Source organism: Homo sapiens, chromosome 3 (genome assembly GCF_000001405.40).
Source record: "Homo sapiens chromosome 3, GRCh38.p14 Primary Assembly".
NCBI lineage: Eukaryota > Metazoa > Chordata > Mammalia > Primates > Hominidae > Homo > Homo sapiens.
Window position 1 is genome coordinate 189,195,493 of NC_000003.12, and position 19,133 is coordinate 189,214,625.

The following is a 19,133-nucleotide window of genomic DNA, read 5'->3' on the forward strand; positions in this document are numbered from 1 at the left end:
ATAAAGGAGAGCCATGACTACTCACCGCTAGAGCAAGACACACTCTAGCCATAGTTCTAATTCAAGACAGTGTATTGCAGTAGCCGTGTGGGCCACAGGGGGCAGGGCACAGTGTCAGCATCTCCTCTGGAGGGAGCACAGCTATGTGGACTCCAGTCAGCTCCCACAGCTGGGCTTAGTGCCTGTGAGCACAGCTGGGGATCCCAGGGTTGAAATCTATTGGTGTCCAAGGTGTTGATGGGGATTCCTAGGATCCTCTTGCTTTCTTCCTTGTTGTAGACAGAAGTTCCTCCTAGTTCCTAGGTGATCCTGATTAAGGGATGGAGTGGTAGAGGCCTGGCATTTCCTTCCCATCTCTACGTAACAATCCCAAATTTCTGTGTTTACCAGGGTTTCTGTTACTCCCCTGATGTACTTTGGTGCCCTTCCTTGGTTATTTTCATTAAAATGTAGTTGTTTATTTATTGTTCTGACTGTCTTTGTAAAGAGTAGAGTGCTAGGGGGCTTCTAGCCGGCCATCTTGCTGACATCACCTCTCTCAGAGAGCAGGTTTCTTTTGCTTCATAGGCCAACAAAGCTTTCTCAGGGATTTGAGGCAGTTTAAGCAGAAAAGAGGAGCCTGAAACCCTACTGCTTCCATTAATTTACTTTGTGACCTGAGGTAAGTCACTTCCTTACTCCCATCTGAGGATCTAATTTCTTATTTGTAAAATGAAGATGTTGAGTTAGATAATATCTGAAATGTTTGGCAGCCCTGTTGGATTTTATCATGTGAAACTAACTGAAGAGTCACTTTCAGAAAAATAATCCTGTCACAGTGCTGGTAGTGTGCTATTTCTTGACTTCGGTAATTATTTGCATGGTGTATTAATATCTGTTATCATGCTACTAATAAAGATATACCAGAGACTGGGTAATTTATAAAGGAGAGAGGTTTAATTGACTCACAGTTCCACATGGCTGGGGAGGCTTCAAAATCATGGCAGAAGGGGAAGGGGAAGCAAGACACATCTTACATGGCAGCAGGCAGGAGAGGGCATGTGCAGGGAAACTCCCCTTTATAAATCCATCAGATCTCGTGATACTTACTCACTATCACGAGAACAGCATGGAAAAGACTGGCCCCCATGACTCAGTTACCTCCCACTGGGTCCCTCCCATGACACTGTGGGAATTATGGGAGCTACAATTCAAGATGAGATTTGGGTGGGGACACAGCCAAATCATATCACACTGGTATTCTTATTTTATGATAATTCATTGTTCTGCATATTTATGATTTTCTGAGTGCATGTCATAGTTCAATAAAGTGTTTATTAATAAAAATTTCATTAGAATAATAAAGGCTGGAGTTTTTATTTTGAGGGGAAAATCCTATTTTCAAAACTTAGATGAATACTTTCCATGAATTTTATAAAATCGATGTGTAAAAAGTCACAGTTGGTCTAACAAGAAACTGAGGTTTTGGGGTGACTTCCTTAAACAAAACTCCCAGGCAAGAACATGTGGTTGTGGAATGTTTGTTCTCACTGCTGCCTGGCACCAGGATTGATGCTGGGAAGGTAGTAATCTCTGGTAGGCATTAATCTACACACTCGCCTGGGATGTCTCAATAACTGGGACAGAGGCTTGCTTTAATGTGTAGGCATTGACACCACCAAGCTTCTGAATCAGCAGATTCAAAATCAGGGATTGTGTTTAGTTTGTAGAGAAAATAACAAAGGCTACTGCAGGTCTCAGCTGTTGGCATTGGTTGATTTTTTTTATCTCTCTGCTTCTTTCTTGTTCATCTGTATATGGAGAAAACATCTGAGTCTTTACAGGCTCTCCGAGTGCATTATCAGGACCCACATCTTTAGCCTTGCGTGTTGCTCTATCCTGTCTTTCTATATTTTTCTCTCTCTTTTGTATGTGTGTTTGGTTGGGGTTGGGGAACTGGTGACTTAGTCTTATTTATTCTACTCCCCAGAATTCCACCACTTTTCTGTCCCTTTTCTGTCCCACAGTCTTCAGGGTCAGGCCAGTTGCAAAGTAGGACACTTTTGCTATTGCCTGAGATAAGTCACTCAATTCAATATTTGGCTTACAGAGTGGTTTTGTTTTACTTTTTCAGATGCTTCTCCTGCCAACTCTCTTCTAATTCACAAATCCTTATATAGGTTTATATTAATAGCTAGCTATAGAATTTATCCCTGTAGGGGAATTTCAATATTGGACAGGGCTGTGAAGGGGAGAACCCAAGAGATCTGGATATGTAGATTAAGTGGATATGTTTCTAACCAAAACCAAACACATAAACAAGAAAGAATTTGTTATTCTGAAAAGAGAGAAGTGAGAAATAGATAAATGATACAATATTGGACCATACACAATGTGACAAACCTCCCCATGACCTCTCTAAATCTTTGATGAAGTTGTTAACCCCATGAAATTCTTAAGGCAACTGGAATATTTACAGTGCCAAGGCCAGAATGTGTAAGTGGGTTGACTGTGAGAAAATTCTCAGCAGGTGTGGAGGGGATGGCAGAGAGAAGCGAATACAGAGAAAGTGTGAGAAGTCTTTCAGATTCTCCTCCCATTGCAAAATGTTAGTTTTCACCAACTGTAACCAGATCTTCAAGGGATTGGGTTTGGGGGTGGGCGGCTGACATCTCAATTGCACACACCATATTACCTGCCACTTTTGGAACACACTCCTCTCACACCTCACACATTTGCCTGGAACATCCTCCACCTACCCTCTAGTGTACAGTCAGCTCTGAGGTGCCTTATTCCACACCTCTAACTTCCCACACTCGCATTCCCCTCTTCCCACTCACCATCTTCTGTCTCTATGGTGTTTTGTGCACATACTCCTATCATGACTCTATCACAAAAGGCTGCCATTATCTGCTCATGTTTCTGTCACCTCCACTAGACTATGAGCTTCTATAGATTAAAGACTGTGGTATGAGTTCCTATGTGTGTCTGTGAGAGAAGATGCTTTTGTTCATGCTTTAGCACAGAACTTCATTACTCGGTCCACAAACATTTACTGAGCACTCGCTGTGTATGAGGAAATGCGCACAGATAAAACAAATTAAGCCTTGTCCTTCCAATCTGAAGCACTGCCAAGGAACAGGCAGGGTATCCATTCATCCATCCAAGAAATTTAAACTTAATGGCGGCTCTATATCATGCCCATACTAAGTGCTGGACTATGAAGATTAGTGCAGCACAGTTCCTGCTCTGGAATTGCTCATGGCCCACTAGTGAAGACAGGAAAGTAAATGGTGATTACAGAATAGTAGGATCAATGCCACGGGAGTCAAGAACTCAAGTGCTCTCATAACCCAGACTGGATGAGTGGTAGAAGCATGCACTCAAATGTCTAAGAAAATTCATCTCAAGGGATCTGTAATCTCAAAAAATTCTCTAGTCAATATCTTTGTCTTTATCATTTTCTTCTTTATGTATTTTTTGAGAAAATCTCTCTAAAAATAAATACATGCTGTGAGAAACTCAACAGAACTTTAAATTATTTCCTTCTTAAGTACAAGAATAGTTACTGAGGTTCGAGCATGTCTTTGGCCCTAGACTGGGTGAGATGCCCAGCTCTCCACTCTGCATGTCCCAAGCAGCTCTGGTCTATATGGATTTTTATTTGAGTCAGAGGGAAGTCATAAAACAACACCCTGTAATCTCCACAATAGGCACCCAAATTCATGACCGTTATCACAATCTTATTCCTGTGACCTTACAGCTTTTGAATCACAAGAGAACCAATTTGCTCAGTTGGAGTCACATGATGATATGGGGAAAACCATTTATGAACAATCTCTACAGGCTTCCATCTAAAACATTCTGGACACTGAAGAAAAATTAATCAAATCTTGTAGACTCGTTGAGCTGGAAACTTAGGAATAATTTAGTCCAACAGTTTTCAAATTTGAACATTTTTCCCTCAAATAAAAGCTTCAGAAGAAATCCAGTAAATGATAAATGGATCTTTTTTGACTGAAATAAGATTGATGACCGGGAAACCCACCCATGAACCCCTCAGGTAACCTCAAGAGTAGTATCCAGGGCCGGGCCCGATGGCTTACGCCTGTAATCCCAGCACTTTTGGGAAGCCGAGGCAGGCGAATCATGAGGTCAGGAGTTCGAGACCAGTCTGGCCAAAATGGTGAAACCCTGTCTCTACTAAAAATACAAAAAAATTAGCTGGGTTTGGTGGCGGACACCTGTAATCCCAGCTACTCAGGAGGCTGATGCAGGAGAATTGCTTGAACCCTGGAGGCAGAAGGCTGATCCAGGCGAATCTCTTGAACCCTGGAGGCAGAGGTTGCAGTGAGCTGAGATCACGCCACTGCACTGCAGCCGGGGCAACAGTGCGAGACTCCATCTCAAAAAAAACCAAAACCAAAAACAAACAAACAAAAAAACAATGAATAGTATCCAGGAGCACAACTTGCAAACAATCAAGTCTCACCTTTATTTTGTAGAGAGGAACCTGAAGTGCAGAGAAGGGAAGCAAGAAAGTGACCTACCCAGGGTCACTCTGAGGGGACGGCAAAAGAGTGAGCACCCACATTTCTTGGCCTAGCCCTGTATTCTTCCCCACGGCCCTCTTTCCATCTGCTGCTGAGTCGAAGCACTTTATAGCAGAGCAGAGGACTCTGCCTGGCCCAGGTGGAGCTGGGAAGGGAGAAAGCCTCCATCAACTCAACTTTCCCCCAGGACACAGAGCAGCCCTGCTGGCATGTTATCACTAATATACAAAATGTGAAATTGTAAGGAATTGTTTGCCAATTTTCTTATCTCAACTGGCACAGAAGCAGGCTTGTTGGAGAGTTATGAGGTGTTAGAGTATTGTTGTTTATCCACCGCACATCCCTCGGCTGTTCTCACGGAGAGACTCACGGAAGCCTGCACACATAAATTCACATAAATTACCTTCACAAAATGTCAAAATCAAAAGTAGATTTTTATTTTGGGTATATGCCTTGAGACTGTTAACCCCTTCATGGGGGTAGAGGTATCAGCATGAGAAAACACAGTTGACATCTTTGACTACACGCAGGCCACAGGGACTAACTCCTGATCTTCCTTCCTATTCCCATCGCTATCCCATCTGCAACAGAGTCATCGTTCTTGTTAACAAGCCATAGACTTTTCTAAGTTCCCTGTCTGTGCACAAATACTGTTCTAGAGACAAGATTTTTTAATTCTGTGGTTACCGTAATTTCATTCTTTATTTAACTAAATTGTAATTAACTAACTGAGAGTTCAGAAGAGATACACAACCATTCTGGGCCTCAGTTTCCTTACTTGTAAAAGGTGGATGCTACAGTTTGAAAGTCTGTGTCTTCTTCAAGATTTATATTGAAACATAATCCCCTAAATGCAATATTAAGAGGTGAGGCCTGTAGGAGGTGATTAGGCTATAAGGGCTCTGTTCTCATGAATGGGATTAGTGCCTTATAAAAAATCTGGAGGAAACTAGCTAGGCCCTTTTTACCCTTTTCATTTCTCCCATCACATGAGGACACAGCATTTGTCCCCTTTGGAAGGTACAATGTTAAAGGCACCATCTTGAAAGCAGAGACCCGCACCAGACACCGATGTGCTGGTGCCTTGATCTTGGATTAACCAGACTCCAGAACTGAGAGAAATAAATTTCTGTGGTTTATAAATTATTCAGCCCCATGTGTTTGGTTATAGCAGCTGCAATGGACTAAGGCAGTGAAGATTGGGATAGATGAGTGCTGAACAGCCAGCTTTTCTTCCCAAGGGTTCACAGAGATAGCAATGGGGATCATCAAGTAGCTATTGATATTTCAAAAGCTTTGTGGATATTATAGATACCTGCAATAGGATTTTTAAAAATCCCGTGTGACTTCTGGAGGTATCAGGAGACAGACAGAACAAGTGAAAAAAGCAAGGGAGTGCCTGGTGTTGCAGCTGGTCCGGTAGGCAGAGAGGGCCAGCAGCCCAGAAGGACTTTCTGAAAACTAGATTTAAAAAGGGGGCAGGTAGTGCTGAAGAAATGGAGAATGACATGGCTCTTGTGAAGAGGTTCACCTTGAAATAGTCCTGAGAGAAGACAAGCATCTTTAATGCCAATACTGTTTTCTAAATCTGAAGTATGATCCTTTTTGTTATACTCAAATTGTTGTTTTTTTATTTTTTTTGAAATGGAGTCTTGCTCCATTTCACCCAGGCTGGAGTGCAGTAGTGTGATCTCAGCTCACTGCAACCTCCGCCTCCCAGGTTCAAGCAATTCTCCTGCCTCTGCCTCCCAAGTAGCTGAGATTTACAGGGGCCTGCCACCACGCCTGGCTAATTTTTGTATTTTTAGTAGAGATGGGGTTTCACCATGTTGGCCAGGCTGGTCTTGAACTCCTGACCTCAGGTGATCCGCCCACCTTGGCCTCCCAAATTGTTGAGATTACAGGCATGAGCCACTGCTCGCAGCCTCAAATTGGCCTTTATTGAACTGTTGTGAGAGGGAAAAACACCCCCAAACATGCCTTTTCTTTGCCTCCGACTCATGTTCTGGCAACTAAGTGTGGCTGGTTATGCCTTTCAAGCTGATTAGAAGTTTTCAGGGTGCCTTTCACACTGATTAAAAAGCTCTCAGGGTAGTTATTCATCCACTTCTCTGAGAAACAAACATTTACCGGGGGCCAACTATGGTGGATCTGTCTTTGCTTTTAAAAAAAGCGGAAAGAATCATCTTAAGATCATGCGGTTTTTCTGTAGGACAGAAATCTTTCAGTATGTGGTGGAGCAGAATCCTCGATGATGAAGAGACTGGAGAGCTACCCCCCTCAGACCGGGGGTAGGCTAGCTCTGACAGTCTAGGATGGAGCATCAGAATGAAACCTCAAATGGGAAATGGGAGTAGAAAGAATGTGGATTTGTGCCAGGACCACATTATGATCTCTATGCCCCAAACCTTTTTGTCTTCCCACTGTAACAACATCAATATTAAAACTTCTGTTTCTATAACTTTAAATCGTTCAATATTATGTGTTTTTTCCCTTTTAGGCAAAACGTAATAGGTTTGGGGTGCCTTACAAATTTTACTTTTTCTTTTTTCTGATGTGAGAACAATTTAAAACTTTTAAATTTGTGACCCTAAAAGCTGTTTTTTTCCTTCTTGTTTTAAAAGAAAGTAAAATATTTCAAGGGCTGCTAAAAGTTTTGTGAACCTCAGGCACTGAGCTTCTTGTGCCTAAAGGATTTGTCAACCTGGCTCTGGGGGAAAGAGAAAGGCTTCATTCAGCCTGCAGCGCTCGCTGTGGGACTGCTGATGCACGGGAAGCTGGGGATTGGTCCTGCTTCATGGAAGCCGTATCTCTCAGCCCAGAACTCACTGGGCTCAGACATTTGGCAAAAGTGCCTCCAGTTTGCCAGTGCATGAGTTTGATGGCCGTTTCTTTGCTTTTCTTCTAAATGGGGCAACTTGAAGAGCAGGAAAGAACAGCGAACTGGAGTCCAGAAAACTAGAGGTCGGGTTGCATGTTTTCATTCTATGGAGCTGTGTGGCCATGGACAACCCTCATTTCAGGGGGTCTGTTTCAATATTTGCCAAATAAAAAAGTTGAACTAAACAATAACTTTTAAGCTATAATTTATGCCCTACATGCTTCTATAATATTATTAGAAAAATTCTCAGAGAGATAGATGAAGTTCCTTATAAATGGAAGCAGTTATACTTAGACCAGGATCTGGAAATAAGTTATTTACTATAATACTATATTAAATTTAGTTCTGAATTTTCTGGCAGCTGAGAAATATAGTATTTCTATTGTCTAATCAAAGGCAAGGTAGTACTTCCTTAAGGCTTTATTTGGGATTTTTTTTTTAATGCTAAAAAAATCAGCACTACTGCCATTTAATTTTTTTAAAAGAGCAAAAATTGACGCACAATCCACTACTTCAATAAATATAACTATTTTCTTTCTAGTCTTTACCAATGTGAAATTATTCAGTGGAACATTCCAAGATAAAATATTTTTGGTTTCCTGCTTTATTTCACTCAAGAAGATACAACTGTTAATCTCGTGCTACTGCAATGTTTGCGTGTTATTTTGAATGCCTGTGTAATACCAGTTGGATATACTTAGCCATTCCTTGAACATTAGGTGTTTAGTTGGTTTTCCATTTTTCATTACTACTCAGAATAAGCAATTAATATTGTAGCATTTTGCTTCTTTCAGGTAGTTTTTATTACATGAATTCCCTGGAATGAGAAGATTCCATGAAAAAGTATGAACATTGGCTGGGCAAGGTGGCTCATGCCTATAATCCCAGGACTTTGGGAGACTGAGGCGGGTGGATCACGAGGTCCAGAGATCAAGACCATCCTGGCCAACATGGTGAAACTCTGTCTCTACCAAAAATACAAAAAATTAGCTGGGCATGGTGGCAAGCACCTGTAGTCCCAGCTGCTCTGGAGGCTGAGGCAGAAGAATTGCATGAACCCAGGAGGCGGAGAATGCAGTGAGCCTAGATCGTGCCACTGCACTTCAGCCTGGTGACAGAGCGAGACTGTCTCAAAAAAAAAAAAAAAAAAAAAAAAACTGAACATCATTTACTTTTTCTAAGTTTTGACCCTTTGTTTTCCTATGAAATTGTGCTGCCTTTACTCTCTAAATGAAGATATAAATTTACTGGGAAATATTACAGAACAGCAAATCTTTTCAGTTCTAAAAGGCTCCCAATGAGTTTGTTGCAGGGGATGATTGATCTATGTGAAAGCAATGGAACATTTGATTTTGATCTGTTACTGGTATTAATGTACCTTTAGCATTTCACGGAATACAGCCTATGCAGGGATAGAAGAGCACTTACTATTGAATTGGGAATGAACTGGGCCAGAGGTCATGAGAAATAGAGTGGAATGTGTAGATGTGCAGCACGCTTCTCCTGTTGGGGAAGCTGAGGAAGTTCTGTTTATTGTTCTTCTAAGATGTTCCTGTGACTGGAACAGAGCTGGAATTACTCTGGATTGGGATAGCTGGGCTCAACTTTCCCACTATTTATGGCAGTGAGAATTTAAACGGAGCTGAGAGTTTCCTTCTTTCCTGGATCTCAAACAGCTTGGTCTCAGAGCGCAGAGCTTCCCCAAGTGTTTCCAGAGAAGACAGCCTGAGGGAGAGGAAGTGGTGCTAATTAAATCCTCCCTCTGTTTTCCAGGCACAGGAGCCTTTCGCAGATGTCTGTTGTTAGGCGTGTGTTCACAGAGTGCGCAAATACAGAAGCAGGCTTTCCTTCCCCAATGGCACAAACCTTCCTTCACAGGTTATAGAGAACTTTAGAAATGCATTTCCTTCCAACACCCACTGTGATAAAGGTGGCAGACCTGCATAAATACAGCATGTAGCTGCCAGGGACAGGAAGGTCAGAGTGCCTCCTCTGTCTGTCTTTCTTTCTCTGTCTCTGTCTCTATGTCTCTCTCTCTCTCTCACACACACACACACACACACACACACACATACACTCTTTCTCCTGCTTCTTCATTCCTTGTTTTCTCAGAGACCAATTTCTACCTTTTGCACACCTAACTTTAAAAGATCACCTAAAAGCTCAGAGACATCTTTTCTGTCATAAGGCAGATGTTGGGTGTGCTATACTGGGGGCATGGTTGGGAGGACACTTGCTGCTACGACTATTCAAGTGTGACCCTGGGTGGTTCCCATCTACTCTGTGTTCCTCAGAAAGATGGGGAAAGACTAAGTAGCTCTTCTAGGATTGCTGGAAAGATCGGATAAGAAAACATATAAAGCTTAAGAAATCATATAAAGCAAACTGCATAAGGCTTTCCACTTGTGAGTTACCTTAGCTGTGTTTTCTACATTCAAATCCTCAGGGTGAACATATATATAGAGCCACATTTGCCTGAGACTGTCCAGTTCACTCCTATCATCCTGACATAATTGTCAATAGCACCCTTTTCATGCCAAAATATCCCAAAATTAGCTAATAAATTATATGATCATACTATTTTTACCTCTTGTGAATAGCCTAGTTAATCCCAATTTCAAAAGCGGAAGCTTGCTGGGGATAGGGGCTTCTTCTCACCTTCTTTTGTTTCACAAGAACCAAGGAAATTGATTAAAAACCACTTTTGTTTAAGAACAAGGAGGTGACTCCGAGAATAATATGGCATTCCTACTTTCATGGTGAAAATGGACATGAAACTTTCTAGGTAGCATTGATAACATGCTCACTGTCAGCTTGAAAGGATTTGAGTGCACAGGCTAAGCTAACATGTGTCTTCTATTTTATTTTGCTTTGCTTTATATGTACAAAATAGAAACCAAGATATTATTTTTATTTATTTTTAAACCATGTGTGATCATTACTAGCACCCACAGACATGCAAACAAAAATAAAAATCACCTCTAACACTGTCATCTAGAGATAACTATTGTTATATTTTATTTTACTTCTTTTCAGGCCCTCTTTTTAGACATTTTTAAATCTGTTATACCATACATGTGTGCCTGTATATACATATGCAGGTACATTTCCTTCCTTCCTTCCTTCCTTCCTTCCTTCCTTTCTTCTGTCTTTCTTTCTTTTTTCTTTCTTTCTTTTTCTTTCTTTCTTTCTTTCCTTCTTTCTTTCTTCTCTTTTTTCCTTCTTCCTTTCCTTTCCTTCTTTATCTTTCTTCTCTTTCTTTCTAAATTATTTTAACAAATTGGAATAATATTATTTATAATATTTTTTAACTTACTTTTTTCCATTTATAATATATTTTGGATATTTTTCTGTGATAAAATATACACTCACACTTTCAGTGATAACATTGTATTTACAGTGCAACATATTTTATTTAGTCAACTTCTTACTGATGGATACTTATTTTATTTTATTTTTTGGTGTTAGACTCAATGTTGCATGAATGTCTAATGTTTTTACATACAGTGTTGTATGAGATATAAAGTGGTGTGTTTTTCTTTTATATATAACCTGGTATATTTTTCTATTAGATGCGGTGTTGTGATGAACAAACTTTTTTTTTTTTTTTTTTGAGACAGGGTCTTGCTCTGTTGCCTAGCCTGGAGTGCAGTGGCATGATCTTGACTCACTGCAACTTCCACTTCCTGTGCTCAGGTGAACCTCCCACCTCAGCCTACCGAGTAGCTGAGACTATGGGCACATTCCGCCATGTCTGGCTAATTTTTGTATTTTTTGTAGAGACTGGGTTTCGCCATGTTGCCCAGGCTGGTCTCAAACTCCTGAGCACAAGGGATCTACCAGCCTCAGACTCCTAGAATGCTGGGATTACAGGCATGAGTCACCATGCCCAGCTGAACAACCGTGTGTGTGTGTGTGTGTGTGCACGCGTGTATGCATGTGCGTGTGTGTGAGTCTTTGGGTATTCGTCTAATTATTTTCTTAGAATAAATTTTTAGAATTCGAATCTTTCAGTTAAAAACATGTTCAGTTCTAAGTGCTCTTATGCTCTATTATGACTCAAGAAGCACACAAGAAAATGCATTATCATTGCTTTTAACTCTTAAATAAGCTTGCAGTCTGGTGAATTTTCAACCAAAAATGCTATGCAATTTTGAAGAGAAATTGTCTGGTAATTATTTTATATAGCTCTTCTCTTGTTCAGGTTCCTGTCTCCTGGGATTAAACTCCTTTTCTCTGTCCGGAGAGTCTCTCCTTCACTTCTCTGGTAAATGACCTTGCAGGATTGTGGATGGTATTTAGAAGTCTGTGTTATGAAGCTGTATCCACCAATGCCTCTGTTTAGTTAACATGAAGGATGTTTTTAAGTTTCAGGAATTCCGTTTGCTCATCATATTCTGTTTTGCCATAGCTAGGACACAGGTACAGAGGTAACATTTTTTCAATGAGATTTTTCTGCCCTTGGTTTAGGCTGAAGAAATGTCAACAATTGGGAGTTTTGAAGGATTCCAGGCTGTGTCTCTGAAGCAAGAGGGAGATGACCAACCCTCTGAGACTGACCACCTATCGATGGAGGAAGAGGACCCGATGCCAAGACAGATTTCAAGGCAGTCAAGTGTGACCGAATCAACTCTTTACCCCAATCCTTATCATCAGCCTTATATCTCACGGAAGTACTTTGCTACACGGGTAAATTTATTGGTTCTCTTAAATACTATATAAAAATTCACCCCAAGACATCTTAAAATCCTTCTGTGTATCACATATTTACTGAGTGTACTCACATTTGTCTCATGTAATCGTCATAATAATCATGAAGTAGCTATCCTTATCCCTATTTAAAGATGAAGGATCTGAACTTTAGAGAATTTAAAGATCTATGTTTGATTCCACAGATAGTATTAAGGAGAAGTGTGTCCTCGAGCTTCCTTCTTTGGTTCCTCAGTTTGTGTTTATGCTAAACCTGATCTCAAAGAACTAGTATTCCATAAAGAGAGAACCATAGCAGCTAGAATACAAAGCTGTTAATCCAGTGAGGGTATTCATTGTTTGTGTGGAAAAGATATGGATAATGGAGTGGAGAGGGTTGCTAAGATCGCACTGACTCTCTAAAGTTTACGATGGGATGCTCATATTACAACGAGGGAGCAGGTAGCTTTAAATCTCAAACCTACAGCGACCAGCTGGAGCTGAGCTCTCTTACCTGTGCAATGGAGCTGGGAAAGTAAATGGATGGGTAAGTAAGCAGGAGGGAGCTTGTATATCTGGATGTTAAAAAAGCAGTATTTTTAACTTTTAGCATTTGATTCAAGTGGAGAGTGCTTCATAGGTTTCTAGTACCTTTCCCTCTTGAGCTCTTCTTCCTACTTATAGATCCTCTTTCCAATCCTTCAACATTCTTATTAGCACAGTCATGGTTAGCTTAGAGGTTACAATCAATTGGGGGCAAAATCAGGGAGTTTACACTATGGCAACAGAGAACATCTCATTTTCATGTGTACGTGGGAGATCTTTTTGGAAAAAAAATGTATTTCAACTCATTCTCATAAAAAATTGGGGCCAGGGTTTTGTGACTTTTCCAAAGCTTTAATTAATAAATCCTGATTTGGTTGCTTTCAAAAGATATCTTTGGTTTAGGTAAAGTTTTAACTAAAGCAACTTAACGAGTGTGTGTGTGTGCCTGTGTGAGTCTGTGTTTAAACACTGCATATACTCTTATGTGCAAGATGCTTTAGTAGGTGCGATACTATATGTGTGTTTGTGTGAGTGTTTCTGCATATGTAGAGCATATGGTTTGTTTTCCGAAGTATGTGAACTTTATTGAATATGCAAAGTTAAGCTGTGTGATATAGCTGCAAAGGAAATCAAAGCATCTCTTGGAGTTGTGCTATCTTTGATATTGATGATGTAGGGTTTGATGATAGAAGAACACACTGCGATATAGAATAAAGATTTATTGCTGGGAGCTGATGCAATTATGAGAGCTGGCTGGGACTATGGAAAGTTGTTTTCTCTGAATCTGGTGTTGGGCCTGAAGTTAGAATAGGCCAATCAGTTGGCAGTTGTGAAGAGGAAATAGGGAAAAAGGAATAGGAAAAAATTGCATGGACAAACTGGAATGTCTGGTGACAATGTTTAACTTATGAGGAAAAACTGGAACCTATGTCTGTCTCCCACCAAGTCTAACCTTGATGGTGTGAGGTCACTTTTAGAAGCTAGTGCTTTCATTACTGAGCTACACACTTAACTAGCCCAGGGAGAGGAAAGTCTTAGAAAAAAAGCCTGACTGTGATGGAAGGAGACGCAGGTACAGGGGCTACCCCTTGCCGTTAAGTAAACCAGGATAACAGTTGCCATGAACATGAGTTGTCACAGTGCATGGTGACCTGCACTGATCTTCAACAGGGAAAACGACTTATGTTTCAATTCTACCTTTTGAATATTACACAGGTGTCTCTTGTTGCCAGCCCTAATTTGGAAACACACACAAAAAAGCAATTCTAGAAAATGTAGTTTCAGCTCAGCTAAATTGACAGAGTCCAAATCCACTACACATGATGATTGTATTGGTGTTGTACCATGTAGCTTATACAGCAAACTCACATCCTTTATCTGTTTGATTCCCCAGAGCAATACTGGGAGGCAGGCAGGAGAGGGCTTAACATCCGTGTTTTAAAGATGAACATATTGAAGTTTGAGAAAAATGAAGTGACCTGTCCAAATCATATAATGTTAGTGGAAGGGCTGCAGCTAGATTCCGGGTCTTGATTCTGGAACTTCTTTCTCCAAGTCCAATACTTTCCTGACCACGCACAGTAGAATTTATGGCTCCTTTATAAGTGTTTTCAATGACTGATTCCAATCAATGCGAAGAATATCTTTTTCATTAGGTGTATCGAAAACAATCTTAAGTTCTCAAAAGCTTGTGAGGGATCTAAAGTAAACCTGAAGACTCTGGGAACCAATAGGGAGATTTTCCCAAGATACTCAGTGTTTGCCCTCCTTCAGACCAACAAACATAGTATGAAGAGCTCTTATTGCCATGTGAGTAAAATAAATGTGCATTCACACACATGAGAACAATGAAAATATAACTGTTGGCTTAACTAAAGTTTATAATGATAAACTTAAAAAAAAAGATCCAGCTTTGCTAGCTTATGAACCACAAGTCTGCTAATGGGTGGTAGTTGAAAAAAACTGGAGAGAAATGTGTGTGTCTGTGTGTGTTGGGGGGAGGGTATTGGATGTATATGCATATATTTCCTCATCTACAAAGTATAGATAAAACGCCATTTTTATATAGAAATTTAAATAAGCTAACTTTGTAAAAGTTCTTAGTAGAGTGCATAACACATCTATCAACATTTTATAAATGGCATCTCATTGTTGTTATAAATGCTTTCTCTTTTTTCTTGACTTTACATCCATTTTTCTGTAATTGGTAATAGGAAACAACATTAAGATGCCCATGACCTCATCATGACCTTCAGGGTAAGATATAAATGTAGACGTGTAGGGTCTGTAGCAGTAAAAAGGAAGCTAACTCATTTTCTGAAGGGATAATTCAATAAGATAAAGAGTCTCAAAGATTGAAATCTATGAAAGAGTCATGATAAAATATGACTTCTTAAAGCTGAAATGAAATCTACAGATGATATAGTCAGATGATTCTCAATCTTTACTATGCAAAACATTATATTCTAGATTTCCACAAAGTCTCTGGTGATACTGATGCTCTCTGTCCTGAGACCACATTTTGAGCGTGAGTGAGCTAATCAACACACTTGTTCTCAAAGGAAAATAAGGCCAAGAGAAGGGGGAGTCGCTTGCTCAATGTCACGGTAGATAGTGATCACTGACTTGCCCAAGAGGCTAGCAAGTGGCAAAGCTAGGGCTCAAACTAGTTTTCCAATTTATAATTAGATTCAATTAAAAAGAAATCAACTTATCATGGAGTAAGAACTTAAAGTATATATGTTGTAAATTCAGAAGGGTAGTCATTGAGTGGAGGGATTACTTGGTCAGGTATTTTCTATTATTAAAGTGTTTTAAAATTATTGCACAGGAGGTGGTTTATTGATGAAAAATTAGAAAATGTAAATAAGCAAAGTAAAATAAAGATTATCACTGCCCAAATTTAACTAAAATGTATTAAATCTGCTCTTATATATTTAGGTGCATATTCTTTTTTCTTTTACTTATATATACACAATTCTTGTGTAAAAATGGGATTATATGCCAACTATTATTTCCCATTTCAATAACATACTTCCATAATCTAATTTTTAATAGTTTCATAATATCCAACTATGGGAATATACTATAATTTATTTAACTTTTGTTGTATATGTAGGTTTCTTACTGTTTAAATGTTTTAAACTAGAAAAGAAAGTTACTCATTGGCTCCCTGAGGCAGGATATTGCTCAATTTCTCCAGTGCCAGGAGTAAGCAGCCGATGCCATAATCAGAAAGAAGTTCAATTATATGAATTACAAATTAGATTTACAAAGAGGTGACTGACACATAAATTAATTATTGACCAACAAGTCAATTTTAGCATCATAACCTCATATATTAGACCACATCACTCAATACTGGATCACAAAAAAAAGTATATCTGGCCCCTTAAACCTCTTGTATTCTTTATGGGTCACTCTGGGATGTTACTTCCTTTCCTCAGGCTTCCAACCTATTATTTATTTTCTGAAACTGTGTGCCTCTGACTTAGCTTCGGAGCTCCCAGCTAGAAGGGTCTTGAAGAATATTGAATCCAGAATCCAACCTTTGATGCACACAAATGAGGTATGACTTGGTGCCAAGGTCAACAAGCAACCTCTGGGCCACGCAAGAACTAGAAGACAGGCCTGGAACCCAGGACCCTCGATGCTTTCCACCACATCCCACTGCCTCTGACCTTGGAAAATGAATGAAAAGTCACAGAAACAAAGATCCAAACTACTTGCCATCAGTCTGCTTGGATAACCTTTTCCTTTGGTTTCAGTTCATCTGCTATTATTGCTTAGACGTATCTAAAAAAAGGCCTAGTGCCTTCTCTGAACAAAAGTACCCCTCAAGGCTAATAACTAGAGGTATATTATGATAATCTTGGTTGTGGAGACTGATATTCAAAAGCAACTTCTTATGAAAGGAACAATACTTAGTCCACATGGGGAAAGATATTTTTAAACTCTCTGTAGGACTCTATATTTGCAGATACCTTATCAGAAAGTTGAAAGCGATTTGGGATGGGGAATTATCTCTAAATTTATACTCGAGAATGTAAATTACATACAAACTAATGGGACTAAAACTATTTGATCTTTTAATATTTAATTAATGGTTCCCCGTGGCGTTTTTATAGTCTGTGTTCTATTGTGAGCAACGAGATTTTAATAAGCAGGTTCAGGACTTTCCATTGTGTAGCAAGATGTCATTGCTTCCATGACACTAATTTGGCTTTCATACTCTCTCTCTTTCCCTCTTCTCTTGCTATAGGGTTCCCTGTGTCTTGCTTTCACATTGGGAACAAATAAATATATTAGTTGTATTGTTATTGCCTGTGTGGGCTTCTTTCGGGTGTAGAAAATAGTTATCTCACTGGGCAAAAGGTTTCTTGACTCCTTCCAACCCTGAAATCCTGTGAAGATTGTAAAAAAGATGATTTTTTTTTTTCTTTATGAGAGCAGAGGACTAACCACAATGAGATATGATATATTCCCTTCATTTTCAGGTAAAGACAAATTTGCTTGGACTTTAAAAATCACATCTGATTTAGAGCTGATTTTCTTACTTTATGTGTTCATTGCAAAGTGACTGCAGTCTGGACATGACAAGAGAGACCCAAGTGTCTGAGTCTGCAGAGACATTCTTTTCTATACCACTCCTGTTTAGCTAAGGAGCTCATTACATCGAGAAAAATTAGCACAGACATGGACATTGTTTGTGTGACAACTGGCCCCAGGCTAGTCTAGCTCAAGGAAATGTAAGGAAACAAACACATATGTTTTCAAAATTCCCCCAGTAGGTTTGCTTTGACTAAAACTATTCAGTGCTAGACTGTAAAAGACAATATTGCCTGTTACGCTGTGTCAGATGATGTGTACATATTATTCCACTGTATTTCCCTGTTTGTCTTAGGCTGCATGATGTCTCAGAGCTGATTATTCAATTACAGTAAACATTTGATCCCCAAATTCTGGTATAACTATTTTCCTTCTATCTGATATCAGCCATAATGAGAATGATGATAAAGATTTTTATTAATCAGTATTTACCATTTTATATGTAATAATATATATAGTGTTTTGTAGCATGACTCAGTTACAGTTGTTATCTTCTTCATCTAATAAATGAGCAAACTGATGTACGGAATGACAAAATGGTGTATAATGGATCCTCATAAGAAAGGCTGAGATTTACACCTTGATGTCCCAGACACAAGTCAATGTATTTATACTTTCATATTATATTTGGCACTAAATGACTAAAGTTAACTTATTATAGTAACTATAATAGTAAGATAGGGGAGAGTACAATTCTGTATCTGGGTATATTTTCCTTCTGTGTTCTATAAGGGCTTGACCTACATTTTTACCAAAGATAAGAACAGCACAGTGAGAAGACTGATAGAACTCCAGAGGCTACCAATTCATTCTGTAAAGAACATGCTTTATTTTTTGTGTCTGACTTTTGAAAAGGTATACAGCAAAACATCACCTTCATCTTCTGTCTTCATCACATTCGTTACTACCCATAGGGAACCAATGTTAATAGTTTCTATATATCCTTTAAGAGTTACTTTAGGCATATAGAAGCAAACATAAATATTTGTTTTTATTCCCTCTCCTCCTTTTTATGCAGAAAATGGCATATTTCACCTTCTCTTCTGTTCATTTTTTTCTTTCATTTGATAATACCTTTAAAAATCTTCCCATATTAACACAATTTTCTTCACACTTTTTATAACTTCATCATATTGTATTGTATGAATGTATCCTATAATATATATCCCTAGTCCTTTATTGAGAGATGTTTGCGGTTTTTTTCCAGAAATTTTTGCTATCCAAAAATAAGGCTGCAAAGAACACTTTATAGATATGTCATTTTGTATATATGCAAAAATTTCTTTAGTATAATTTCACAGAAGTGAAAATATGGATCAAAGGATAGATCATTTTTCATTTTGATAGGCTTTGCCAATTATTTTCCATAAGCGAGGCAAATAAGGTTTTAAAAATTCTACATGATTATACTCATCTTCACATATCCTTGGCAAAGTGCCTGGCATAAAAGCATTCAATAAAATGCTTATTTTAGGATTATTTCATGACTCTTTACTTAACAATTTTTTCTTCTGAAAAATATTAGTCTCACTACTCAGTTATATTTGTTGAGACCAAAATTATGTGAATACAGGAAGAGAGACCCAAAAAAATACCCATGTTGTGTCATTAAAGAAAGTATTATTTTTGAGAGGACAAGTGGGACTGGAAGAGTCAGACTGCATCACAAAGAGTGGAGGTTGAGTGTAGGGAAAATTGTCATAGAATCCTAGGCAACTCCCCTCCAGAGTCATCTATTCCTGCCAGTGGGGTCACTGGAGGTGACTGACGTTGGCACAACCTTCTCTGTCGAAGTACATTTGAGCAGTGGTTCTCTTAGTACAGTCTCCACACCACCAGCAGCACCCAAGAACTTGTTAGAAATGCAAATTCTCAGG

At 39.2% G+C, this 19,133-nt stretch overlaps 1 protein-coding gene across 22 annotated transcripts in view; it reads left to right on the forward strand.

The window, feature by feature from the left end:
- The window catches only part of TPRG1 (tumor protein p63 regulated 1), a 328,078-nt gene that overhangs the window by 198,266 nt on the left and 110,679 nt on the right, over positions 1-19,133 (forward strand). For all 22 annotated transcript variants that reach the window (XM_047448032.1, XM_047448034.1, XM_047448028.1 and 19 more), the window contains one exon: positions 11,884-12,102. In XM_047448032.1, coding sequence (XP_047303988.1) covers positions 11,893-12,102 — 210 coding nt within the window. In that variant the 5' untranslated portion in view covers positions 11,884-11,892. The remainder of the gene's footprint in view (positions 1-11,883; positions 12,103-19,133) is intronic.